The sequence below is a fragment of the Homo sapiens genome, chromosome 20 (assembly GCF_000001405.40).
Source record: "Homo sapiens chromosome 20, GRCh38.p14 Primary Assembly".
Lineage (NCBI taxonomy): Eukaryota > Metazoa > Chordata > Mammalia > Primates > Hominidae > Homo > Homo sapiens.
Window position 1 is genome coordinate 2306586 of NC_000020.11, and position 12763 is coordinate 2319348.

At 46.9% G+C, this 12763-nt stretch overlaps 1 protein-coding gene across 1 annotated transcript in view; it reads left to right on the top strand.

Moving 5' to 3' along the window:
• TGM3 (transglutaminase 3) overlaps positions 1-12763 on the top strand; it is a 45079-nt gene that overhangs the window by 10585 nt on the left and 21731 nt on the right. The window contains exons 2-7 of the mRNA NM_003245.4: positions 3072-3245; positions 3593-3832; positions 4426-4544; positions 6313-6441; positions 10483-10660; positions 10765-10900. Coding sequence (NP_003236.3) covers positions 3072-3245; positions 3593-3832; positions 4426-4544; positions 6313-6441; positions 10483-10660; positions 10765-10900 — 976 coding nt within the window. The remainder of the gene's footprint in view (positions 1-3071; positions 3246-3592; positions 3833-4425; positions 4545-6312; positions 6442-10482; positions 10661-10764; positions 10901-12763) is intronic.

Consider the following 12763-nt stretch of genomic DNA (forward strand, 5'->3'; position numbering starts at 1 on the left):
CTTGCCTCAACCTCCTGAGTAGCTGGGATTACAGGCGTGCGCCACCATGCCAGGCTAATTTTTAAATTTTTAGTAGAGACGGGGTTTTGCCATATTGTCCAGGCTGGTCTCAAACTCCTGACCTCAAATGATCCACCCACCTTGGCCTCCCAAAATGCTGGGATTACAGGTGTGAGCCACTGTACCCCGCCAGCCCTTCTTTTTTCTAAAGTGAGTAAAGTTTTACCAAATCTCAACTGGCTGGGATGCACAGAAAGTAGTGAGCAAGGTTGGCAGGAGGAGAGGGGAGAAAGTTGGGGGCCATTTCCCTAGAGAGATCTGGCATCTATCAGCTGTACACAGCCATCTAGGGCTCAGTGTTTGCCAGTGTCTGAGTTCTGGGCTGTCTCTGTTGGTTATTCAGGTACAGAATGCTCATTTTCCCCCTGCTCCCTCTGTCCTTTCTGTCCTCCCTTATTTCTTCCCTTCATTCAACAGACCCTTGTTGATTGCACAAATGTCTCAGTTTCCCTGAATTTGTGCAAAAACCTATTAATTTATTCTTTCAATGAATATTTGTTAAATGAATGAGTGAGTGGATGTTTGAATGAATGAATTTTAGCACCCTCAGCTGGGAGTAAGCTCACCTCTTGAGTCCCCTCTCTCCAGTGGCAGGTTGGCTCACCATCCCAGGGAGCCTGCATTTTACTGGAGAGGGTACCTATGGTGACCCTCTGCCCCATCTCCAGTGCTCTTGAGTGGAAGCCCCTCCGCAGTCCTGCCCCAACCCCCACTCTCTCCTGTCTCACCTTTCTCTCTTCTCCACGCAGCGCCCCTGCTCCAGACAAGTAACATCACTCCTTCTCTTGTGCCTTTGGGCCTCTCCTTCCCACTGTCTAGAATGCAGGCAGCTCTATGGGCACCCGGCAAAATTCTCTCTCCTTTCAAGGCCCAGCATTTTCAGTGTAGCTTTTCCTGATCCCTACAACTGAAAGTGACTTTTTTTGCCTGCCTGCATCTCTCATACACCTTTCCTGGATTTATCCCATTCCACCATTCATGATCACTTATGCTTGTCTTATCCACTGCTGAAGCTCTTGGAGAGTTATAACTACACTTCATACACGTGTACACTCCCAACATTGTGCCTCACACAATGTCCTATGAATAATAGCTGCTGTAATATTTTTATTGAATGAATACTTCATATTCACTTTTCCTTGTAGACTAAATTTTCAGCTGTCGTCATGATGGTCATCGCATGATATTAGTCTTTTCTTTCTTTGTTCATTTATTCCTTCATCCATTTATTTACCTAATTATCCTAATACAGTCAAGCAGTGTGCTAGGCATCAGAATATAAAGATCAAGAGGGGGCCGGGTGCAGTGGCTCATGCCTGTAATCCCAGCACTTTGGGATGCCAAGACGTGCAGATCACTTGAGCCCAGGAGTTTGAGACAAGCTTGGGCAACATGGCAAAACCCTGTCTCTACAAAAAATACAGAAGTTAGCTGGGAGTGGTGGCTCAGGCCTGTAGTCCCAGTTACTAGGGAGGCTGAAGTGGGAGAATCCCTTGAGCCCAGGAGCCAGAGGTTGCAGTGAGCCGAGATCACACCACTGAGCTCCAGCCTGGGGCAATAGAGCCAGACTCTGCCTCAAAAATAAAATAGAATAAAAGATTAAGAAGGGATGTTCTGATGCAGAGAGATGGACACAAATAAAAAAGAGCTGTGTCTGGCACTGGAATGCACCTTCACACTCTCATCAGAGCCATGGCCTCTGTAAAGACAGAGACCAGTTTGGTTTGCAGAAGAATGGGTGATGTAACCTCTTAAACATAACTCATAGGAAGATTTCCCAAAAAGTTTATATCAGCGAACACCTGGTACATCATGGCATCTCTCATAAACCCTTCTCAGTTTAGCTCCGTCATCTTCACAACCATGTGAGAGTAAATCAGGAGGGTGGATTTTGAGATGTTTGTCCTCGGGTCTTATCCAGGTCATTCATGGCCTTTGACCTGCTCCTATAAATAGCTCTTGCCAGTGAGCATTTGCAAGTCCCCTCTGGGCTGAGGATTCCCCAATTGCTAGGCCTAGAAACACTGCTCAGAGTCTCCGCCAGCCTCCCTAGCATCAGAGGCCCAGGCCAATACCGAGGCATTGCAAATACAGGGAAGGTAAAGGATGCAAAAGTAAACATTTGCTGGATACTGGAGAGGCGAAACATGCTTGGTGTCTGGGGACACACAAGGGGACAACAAAGAAGCCAAACCACGGTGATGGGGGTGAGAGAGGTATCCTCCCTTCAGTTCTTTTTTTTTTTTTTTGAGACAGAGTTTTGCTGTTGATGCCCAGGCTGTAGTGCAATGGCGTGACCTTGGCTCACTGCAACCTCCGCCTCCCAGATTCAAGTGATTCTCCTGCCTCACCCTCTTGAGTAGCTGGGATTACAGGTGTGAACCACCATGACCAGCTAATTATTTGTATTTTTAGTAGAGATGGGGTTTCACCATGTTGGCCAGTCTGGTCTCAAACTCCTGATCTCAGGTGATCTGCCTGCCTCAGCCACACAAAGTGCTGGGATTACTGGCGTGAGCCACCACACCCGGCGCCTCCCTTCGTTTCTGTTGGAGCCCCCATCCACAAAGCAATGAGAAATGCTGAAAGCAGACAGAACGTAGGTGCTCTGGTGACATGTACTCCTCATTGATTGGATGGAGCTCCACTGAACATTTGGCCCGTTCCTTAAGGGCCGAGTGACAGCTCAGCAGATGGAGGGGGGAAAGACACTCTCAGCTGTGGGAACAGGATGCACAGAGGTTCAGCTGTCTGAAAGGGCAGAGCATTTTCTATGATCTTGCATCCTGTGAGCTGGCATAACTGAGTCTGGAAAGATTGAGTGGGAATAGGTTGTGATGTTCTTGCTATGCAAGATCAAGGTCTTTGGATTTTAATGTGATTCTTTCTAGGAATTTGGCTCTGCCCTTGACAAGCCTCACCCCAAAGCTGCTCTTTGGTAACTTACACCCTTCCCCCACACCACCATCCCTTGCCTCCTAGGACTTCAGGTTCTCCTTTCTGCCTCACAGCTCTAGGAGTCCAGAGTATCAACTGGCAGACGGCCTTCAACCGACAAGCGCATCACACAGACAAGTTCTCCAGCCAGGAGCTCATCTTGCGGAGAGGCCAAAACTTCCAGGTCTTAATGATCATGAACAAAGGCCTTGGCTCTAACGAAAGACTGGAGTTCATTGTCTCCACAGGTACCTGCTCATTCCCCTCCTTGCCCAAACACACACATACTTGAGTAGCCCTTGTTCATTCAAGGACTGACGGGGACCACACTGGGGCCACTGGCATTGGGTTCTAGCCTTGCTCTGTCATTGATTCAGTGTGGCCTTGGGCAAGTTGCTGTCCATCTCTGAGCCTGAGAGTCACCATCCTCAAATCAAGAGGGATCTGGCCTGTATGTTTGTTCCAGTTACTTCCAGTGGTAGAATATGGCGCTTCATTGGCTCATGTCCCCCAGAGGGGGGTTGTATTGGAACCTGGTCTCTCCACAGTCTGACCAGTGCTTGTTGGTTTTCTCAACCTCTGTCTTCTTTGACAGGGCCTTACCCCTCAGAGTCGGCCATGACGAAGGCTGTGTTTCCACTCTCCAATGGCAGTAGTGGTGGCTGGAGTGCGGTGCTTCAGGCCAGCAATGGCAATACTCTGACTATCAGCATCTCCAGTCCTGCCAGCGCACCCATAGGACGGTACACAATGGCCCTCCAGATCTTCTCCCAGGGCGGCATCTCCTCTGTGAAACTTGGGACGTTCATACTGCTTTTTAACCCCTGGCTGAATGGTAGGTGTCTAGCCACCCACACTCTCAGCCCTGGCCTAAGCTAGAAAAGAAAAAGGGGATGGGGGAAATGATCTTCACAGGCTCAAGTTTGATTAGGGAAAGTCCATGGGCTGTGGAAAGGGCGCAGAAGCTAGAAATGAGGAGCTCTGACACTTAAGCAGCTGTCTGAGTGTGGGCAGTCCTTCTATCTCTCCAAGCCCCAATGTCCTCACCATTAAATGGACATCCTGCTGTTTCTTCTGGGAATATTGTGGAGATCACATTGAGCTTTTACAAACTGCATAGCATGGTTCATTTTAAGGGACAATACCACAGTATAATTCCACAGCATGGAGATAGCTTTCTGCCAGAAAGAGCAGGTGTCTTATCCCTGGGGTCTCATTTTCAGACCCTCGGGTCATCCTAGCTTCTCTTTCCAGCTCATAGTTCCCACAATTGGAGTTGGAAGAGTTACAGCCCAAGGGTCAGGGGAGGGCTAAAGGTGGGGCTTGCTCCAACCCCCAGGCCGGTTCAGGAGTGGGAGGAGAGGAGGAACGATCCCTACAGTCCTCCGAGGATTCTAGTCGCTGGTGTCTGCTTTTTGTATCAAATAGTGGATAGCGTCTTTATGGGTAACCACGCTGAGAGAGAAGAGTATGTTCAGGAAGATGCCGGCATCATCTTTGTGGGAAGCACAAACCGAATTGGCATGATTGGCTGGAACTTTGGACAGGTAAAAGGGTCATAAGGAAGCTAAGGGTAATGTCCCTGTTACCCAAGAAGCTCAGCAGCTTGCCCCACAGATCAATGGGAAGTCCCACATCTGTCCATCTGCCTGCCCTTCTATTTGTTCATGTATTCAGAAGACTTTCATTGGCCACCTATTATGTGTCAGACCCTGGGATCCACACTAAGGATAAAGGAGATGAATAAGACAGATCCATCTTTGAGGGGGTTGCAATCTAGTGGGCAAGACAGAACACACACATAACTCAATTGATGCAATGAAGTAGTATTGGTGCCAGGATGCACAAATAAATATAAGGCCCCCAAGAGACACTGGGGACAGTAATGTAGCTTCTGTTTTTCATTCCATGTAACAATGCGATGACACTTCCTTAGTGTGCCCACTCAGCCTTTCCAAGCCACACCCTTTTGTTCCTTTATTACAGCAATCCCCATTTGAGTCTACAGAGTTCTCAGATTTGGTCAGTTTAGAAAACTTTCAAGGATGCCCTCCACCTTTTAGTTTATCCACCAGACAAAGGCATTAGAATAAAGCACCTCGGGCGGGGTGCCTTGGATATCAGAAAGATGTGTGCTTGGACCATCTACAGACCCTGTCTGTAGTCAACTGGAGCAAGTTGGGAGGAAGAAAAAAGAGAAGGATAGGACATAGAGTGCACCTAGGAGTGGAAGAGAGGCTATTTTTTTTTATGGCATGGTTAGGGAGGGCCTCACTTAGAAAGGAGCCTTTGATCAGGAACCTGAAGGAGATGAGGGCACCAGACAGAGATCTTGGGAAAGAGCATCAGGCAGAAGGAAAAGCAAATGCAAAGACCTAAGGCAAGAGGAGCTCGGCCTTCTCAGTTTGAGAAGCAATGACTTCAATTAAGTCTTATTTTGTGAAAATCACTTCAAATACATATACTTTAGCAAGAGATTTTATTTTTATAACTAGTTCTCCAGGAGTCTCAATAACGTGCTCAAGATTGCAGGCAGGCCAGGTGCAGTGGCTCACGCCTGTAATCCCAGCACTTTGGGAGGCTGAGGCGGGTGGATCACCTGAGGTCAGGAATTCGAGACCAGCCTGGCCTATATGGCAAAACCCTGTCTCTACTAAAAATACAAAAATTGGCCAGGTGTGGTGGCACGGGCCTGTAATCCCAGCTACTTGGGAGGCTGAGGCGGGAGAATTACTTCCCAGGAGGTGGAGGTCACGATGAGCCGAGATCATACCACTGCACTCCAGCCTGGGTGACAGAGCAAGACTCCGTCTCAAAAAAAAAAAAAAAAAAAAAAAAAGGATGGGAGGCAGAGCTAGAAGGAAACTCTGAGATGAGTTTGGCCTAATTATACAGATGGAGAAATCGAGGCCAGACAGGCTAAACAGCTTGCTCTTGAGGTTTGTGGCAGCCGGGGCGTCGGCTAGACCAAGCCACCTCCCATGCATTCACTTTAAGAGAGTTTGCACAAGGTCTTATGCTTTTTTATTTTTAATAATTTTTTATTTATTATCCTTTTCTGTCTCTTTTTTGTTGTTGTTGTTTCAAAAGCTGCCTTTGAGGAAATACACAGGGTCTTGTGTGTAGTGAGTGCTCTGGATGAGTTTGCGGGGTTGAGGGCTGGGCATGGTGGCTGTCCTCAGTAGCTCTCAGTTCCAGAGGCCACAGAGTCAAAGGATCTGATAGTTCCTGTGGTTCTTGCCAGTGCAGTTCCCTTCTTGAGCCAACTCTCCTTGTCATTTCTTTAATTGTAATGTATGGTCTCGTTCTGAACAGTTTGAAGAAGACATTCTCAGCATCTGCCTCTCAATCTTGGATAGGAGTCTGAATTTCCGCCGTGACGCTGCTACTGATGTGGCCAGCAGAAATGACCCCAAATACGTTGGCCGGGTGCTGAGTGCCATGGTGAGTAACAGGAAAACGATCACAGCTAGTTGTCATCATATATTGAACACCACCTATGAGCTAGGCACGCACACTCTTTACATATGTCATCTCATTAAAGCCTCACCAATTACAGCTGGTGGTTAGAACCATCCACATTTTACTAACTTGGAGCACAAGGCCCCTCTAAGTTACAGGGCTTGCCTGAGGCACACAGTGAGTATGTGGCAGAAGCAGAGCCAGACCCAGGTCCAGCCAGCTTCAAAGCCCTTTCCACCACATCATGAAGCCTTTCTCAGAGGAAAAGGGAGCTTGCTCTTTGAGTGCCTGCCAAGGATGGGAGAATGCAAAGCTAGGGCTCTGCTCCATCATTGGGCCTCCTGGGAAAGGAAGCGAGACCCTGATTGAGCTGGAGGTGGTGACCTCCTTTGCCTAACTCATCTCTTCCACAGCCCAGAGCACAGCCCAGAGTGTCAGATGGTAGGCTGCCTCATTCATGGTCTAGATGGGGAAACAAGCTTGGAGAGCTGAAGTGGCTTGCTCAAGGCACACGGCATGCAAGTCAGACCAGAACAAGGCCTCCATGGAAAAGGCCTGTGCCCCTACAACACACACAAACACACACACACTCACACAATCACACACACTCTCTCTCTCTCTCAGACACACACACACACGAGCTAGATCCCCTAGAAGGCATCTATGGCTCTGCACTCATTGTGTAGAGAATATCTCCAACCAGTCTGGGCGTGGTGGCTCACGCCTCTCATCCCAGTGCTTTGGGAGATGGAGGTGGGAAGATGGCTTGAGCCCAGGAGTTTGCCACCAGCCTGGGTAACGTAGTGAGACCTCGTCTCTACAGAAATTAAAAAAAAACTAGCCAGGCATAGGCAGACACGGTGGCTCACACCTGTAATCCCAGCACTTTGGTGGGGAGATGACTTGAGCCCAGGAGTTCAAGACTAGCCTGGACAACATGGCAAAACCCTGTCTCTACAACAACAACAAAAAAAAATTAGCAGGGCATGGTAGCATGTGACAGTAGTCCCAGCTACTTGGGAGACTGAGGTGGAAGGATCACTTGAGCCAAGGAGGTGGAGATTGTGGTGAGCCAAGATCATGCCACTGCGCTCCAGCCTGGGTGACAGAGTAAGACCCTATCTCAAACAAACAAACAAAAATTAGCCAAGCATGGTGGTACATACCTGTATTCCCAGCTACTCAGGAGGCTGAGGCAGGGGGATTACTTGAACCCAGGAGCTTGAGGTTACAGTCAGCTATGATGGCACCACTGCACTCAGGCCTGGGTTATAGAGCAAGACCCTGTTTCCAAAAATATTCATCCAGAATATCTAAACCTAGATCAACCTGCTCAAAAGTTGTAAGTTAAGATGCAAAAAGTCGTGATCAGGCACAGTGGTTCACACCTGTAATCCCAGGACTTTGGGAGGCTAAGGCAGAGAATCACTTGAGCCCAGGAGTGTGAGACCAGCCTGGACAACATAGTGAGACCTCATCTACACATACACACACACACACACACACACACACACACACACACACACAGGAGCCAGGCATCGTGACACATGCCTGTAGTCCCAGCTACTTGGGAGGCTGAGCTGGGGGAATTGCATGAGTCCGTTAGTTGCAGGCTGCAGTGATCTGTGATTGCGCCACTGCACTTCAGCCTGGGTGACACAGCAAAAGCCTATCTCCAAAAAAAAAGGCGAAAAGTCAAAGTGAATTCTTTACTTTAATCCTCTTAAACTAAGTAATTACCCAGAAATCCTGTAACCTTTATTTATTTATTTCTATGTTTCATGGTTTAGGCATTTCTTGATCTCTTGACTTTTGAGTTGGATATGTCCATGCTAATGAGCTAGTTACTTGGTTAAAAATGTGAACAACTTCTCAGCTGCATGATAAATATCCGGGGTGCATCTGAGAGGGCTTTTGGAAAGAGCTGAGTCTTAGACTGAGCCTGGCAAGAAAGGAGTAAGGTGGGCCCAGGGAACTTAGTAGCCGAGGGAGAGTATGGAGAGGAAGTGAGCCTGGAACAGAATCTTGAAACCAAATGGCCTGGAAGAGGTGGGATTAAAGCCCTGGTGACTTAGAAGGCTGAGTCTCTTTGGCCTAGGAGAGAGTGGGTGAGGCCAGCGGCTCCTGCAGCTGCTGACTCACTCGCACCCCAGGGCCAAACCACTTTATCGTGGAGCCAATTTCCTCAGCTGCACCTCCCAGATGCTCTATTCAGACCTCCCAGCTGGGCTGGGCCATGAACTAATTATGGCCTGTGCGGAGCTTTGAAGTGCTCAGCTTTCAGCCAGAGATGACCGTGCTGATAGCCACTTTGGAGGCTGGAGCACCAGTGACTCAGGAGATGGGGAAGGGCTGCGCAACCTTCCATCTCTAAGGAGGCCCTGTCTTGCCTGACTCTGCCATGACAGCCCAGGACCTCCTGGAAGGGGTGCAGAACTCACTACTGCACTGAGGGCCTGGCAAGGCTGGGCATGGCCTGTCCTGGGCAAGGATCCCTCTGTGTCCAGACTGTCCATTCTCATAGGCCTTGCCACTTACAGGCACTCCAAGGAGAAGGGGTAGGACACACAGGCTGGAGGAGCCTTCAGAGATCCTGGTCCAGCCTCTCATTGCACAGTTCAGATAAACGACAGCCAAAGTTTCATAAACCCTGACCCTTGACTACAAAAGACACCTCAGAGCACCTTTGTCCTAACTTTCCCTTGAAAATTCCCTTCCCTATTGGAAGGTGAAGAACTAAGGCCTAGAGAGGTGAACAGACCTTTGTGCAATCATCAAGTTGGCAAGTGGCAAGGTGGGGCTTGTAACCTCAGTGTCTCCTTCTCTCTTTTAACTTTTATTATGGAAAAGTTCAGACCTACATAAAAGTAGAGAGAAAAGCATAATGAACTCCTGTGTCTGCATCACAAGCTTCAGCAATTACCTCTTCAAGGCTGGTGTCATTTCATCTGCGACCCTCTCTTTCACAGATGATTTGATAAATCTTAGACATTACACATTTGTCATAATTTCACCTGTAAATATTTCCAAGTGTGTCCCTAAAAGACAATGGAACTCAGGTCTCGATTTCTAGTCCAGTGATCTTTCCAGGCTGCCTCTTGGTTGTGTCACTTAGATTAGAACCTTAAATTGAATAAATGAATGAGTAAACTAACAAATGAACAAATAGCTGAATGAATGAAAGAAAAGAAATACTCTATCTTTATTCTTTCCAAGAAGAAGTTAGTTGCTAAAGTTCTAAAGTGATCTTTTTGGCCGGGTGTGGTGGCTCACACCTGTAATCCCAGCACTTTGGGAGCTGATGTGGGCAGATCACTTGAGGTCAGCCTAAGCAACATGGTGAAACCCCGTCTCTATTAAAAATACAAAAGCTAGCCGGGCATGGTGGCACGCATTAACACCAGTTACTCAGGAGGCTGAGCCAGGAGAATTGCTTGAATCCAGGAGGCGAAGCTTGCAGTGAGCCAAGATCACGCCACTGCACTCCAGCCAGGGCGACAGAGAGAGACTCTGTATCAGAAAATAATAATAATAATAAATAATAATAAATAAATAAAATAAAAATAAATAAAATAAATAAAGTGATCTTTTCGTAAGACCATACACCAAAAAAGAGTTTCAAACCATGGACTCCCAGGCAGACTGTGACAGCAGTGATAGCCTGTGGATTCTTACCTGCCAGAAGTCCTCTGCAAGCTGGAGTTGTGCCCTGCCTTGCCACAGCACAAGCTGTGCTGTCTGTTTCCCATGTCAGGCTGCTGCACAGGAATGACGTATGGATCAAGGACAATCAAACATGGCCTGTTTGGGAAAGCACCTCTAAACTCGTAAACCACTCCATACCCCTAAGGGTTAAGTGTTACAATGATCATCCCCAAGTCACCTAGAAAGACAAAGAAAAGTTCAATCATGGCCTTTGGCTTCCTTCCTCATCTCCCCACCTTGTCCTCTGAATTCTGCATGTCAGTCTCCCTAGGAAAGGCATTAGTGCTGACTCATTTTGGGGGGGTGGTTTCTGCCCAGATCAATAGCAATGATGACAATGGTGTGCTTGCTGGGAATTGGAGCGGCACTTACACCGGTGGCCGGGACCCAAGGAGCTGGAACGGCAGCGTGGAGATCCTCAAAAATTGGAAAAAATCTGGCTTCAGCCCAGTCCGATATGGCCAGTGCTGGGTCTTTGCTGGGACCCTCAACACAGGTACCTTGGGTGTGGTGTGCCTTGGCTGGGTCAGTGGGTGGCAGTGGGCTATGCCAAGGTACCATCTCCACCACCTGAGTCCTCACGCCCACCCTGACTTGCAGCGCTGCGGTCTTTGGGGATTCCTTCCCGGGTGATCACCAACTTCAACTCAGCTCATGACACAGACCGAAATCTCAGTGTGGATGTGTACTACGACCCCATGGGAAACCCCCTGGACAAGGGTAGTGATAGCGTATGGTAAGTATCTCACCTTTTCCCTGAACTTCGAGCACCACATTTGAGTGGCTTCTCGCTCTCACCATCCTTCTGGGACCCAGGTCCAAACAGGTGTTGCAAGGCAAGTAACATGTCATCACAGGGTGTAGAATGGAACTGCTGGCAATGCTGATTACACACTTAGCAGCACCCAAGACACCTCTTCTCGGTGCTCTGCGGTCTGCTAGTCTGGTCTATCTTGCTGCCGTCAGACAAAGGATCTGATCCCAGTGAAAGACAGGGCTCCTAAATTCACTCTGAATTTATGGGATCCATTGGACCTTATACTACTATAGAATATACAAGTTGAAACTATTGCTTTTCCAGCAAGAAATATACATTTGTTTCATTTCAAGTAATCCATATGACTTACAAACTTTCTTAAAGAGAATAAGAAAAGCAACACATCTTCTCTTAGCATATATATATATATATATATCATATATATATATATATACACCTATTGTATACCTTGGTTGACATCAAAAGTTCAGAGTTTATTCTGGATTCCGGATGAAAACAATTATTTTTTTGAGATGGAGTTTCATTCTTGTTGCCCAGGCTGGAGTGCAATGGTACAATCTTGGCTCACTGCAACCTCAGGCTCCCAGGTTCAAGTGATTCTCCTGCCTCAGCCTCCCAAGTAGCTGAGATTACAGGCATGCACCACCATGCCCGGCTAATTTTTGTATTTTAGTAGAGACAGGCTTTCACCATGTTGGTCAGGCTGGTCTTGAACTCCTGACCTCAGGCCATCCACCTGCCTCAGCTTCCCAAAGTGCTGGGATTACAGGCGTAAGCCACTGCACCCGGCCAAAATGTTTTATATATATTTGGGCATTTATATTCCTAACCATAAGTATGCCATGTGCACACTATCAATACACACACACACGTAATTTAATGATAGATGCCACTGGAAGTAGGAAATGTGTAGACATATATCTGTAACTGCATAGAGCACTAGATAGATAGATATTATATAGATAAAAATAGACATTGTTACAACTGTTTAAGGTTATATCATATACCAAGTTATTACCGGATGGCAATTGGCAATGATGTCTATATCTGTAGATACACAGAGATATCTATGTATCTATATAAAGTACCCATCTATCTATTGTTTTAATCCATTTCAAAGGCTACACACACACATAATTGCTCACATGCATGTATGTGGCTAGATAATCGTATGACAGATGTAATCTTATTTTCAGATGTTCAATTTTGAGATAGTCTACATAAAATGTTTGTATTACTTATCATTCCCAGAATAAGTATATCTAACTTATCTGAAATGTGCTTAATGTAACTAAGGGTATAAAATGAAACGAAAATAGATAATAATGGAAAACACTGTTAAAACAAATAAATAACAACTCCATGCCAGCAACCGAGTTGAGTAATAAAAGCATCCCTTCCCTTCTGAAGGAGAGTGAGGTTTATGTAACTCACCCCAGAGTCAATGGATTCTGGGGTTTTACTAGGGGAGAGAAAGCTTATTTAAGGAGTTTCTTTCTTGATCTGCACATACACAACTTTCTCTCTAATGATATTGCTTACTTGTGGCCAGACTTTGTTTTCCAACTTCTCATGAATGAGTGTCTTCTTTTCCCTGGGCTTTTCTTTGTTCTTGTGTCCAAAATCCCATCGCAACCAGCTCTGATCACTGGGGCTATGCCATTCCTAACTTTAGTTTCTTCTACAAAAGGAGATGGTTGGTGAGACAAGTTGGGGGTCCCCTCGGCATACCCTTTCTGTGATTATCCTGTACATTAGGAACTGCAGGGACGTGGAAAGCTTAAGTCTCAGTTCCTCCACTGAAAGCATTTTTATGGTGCT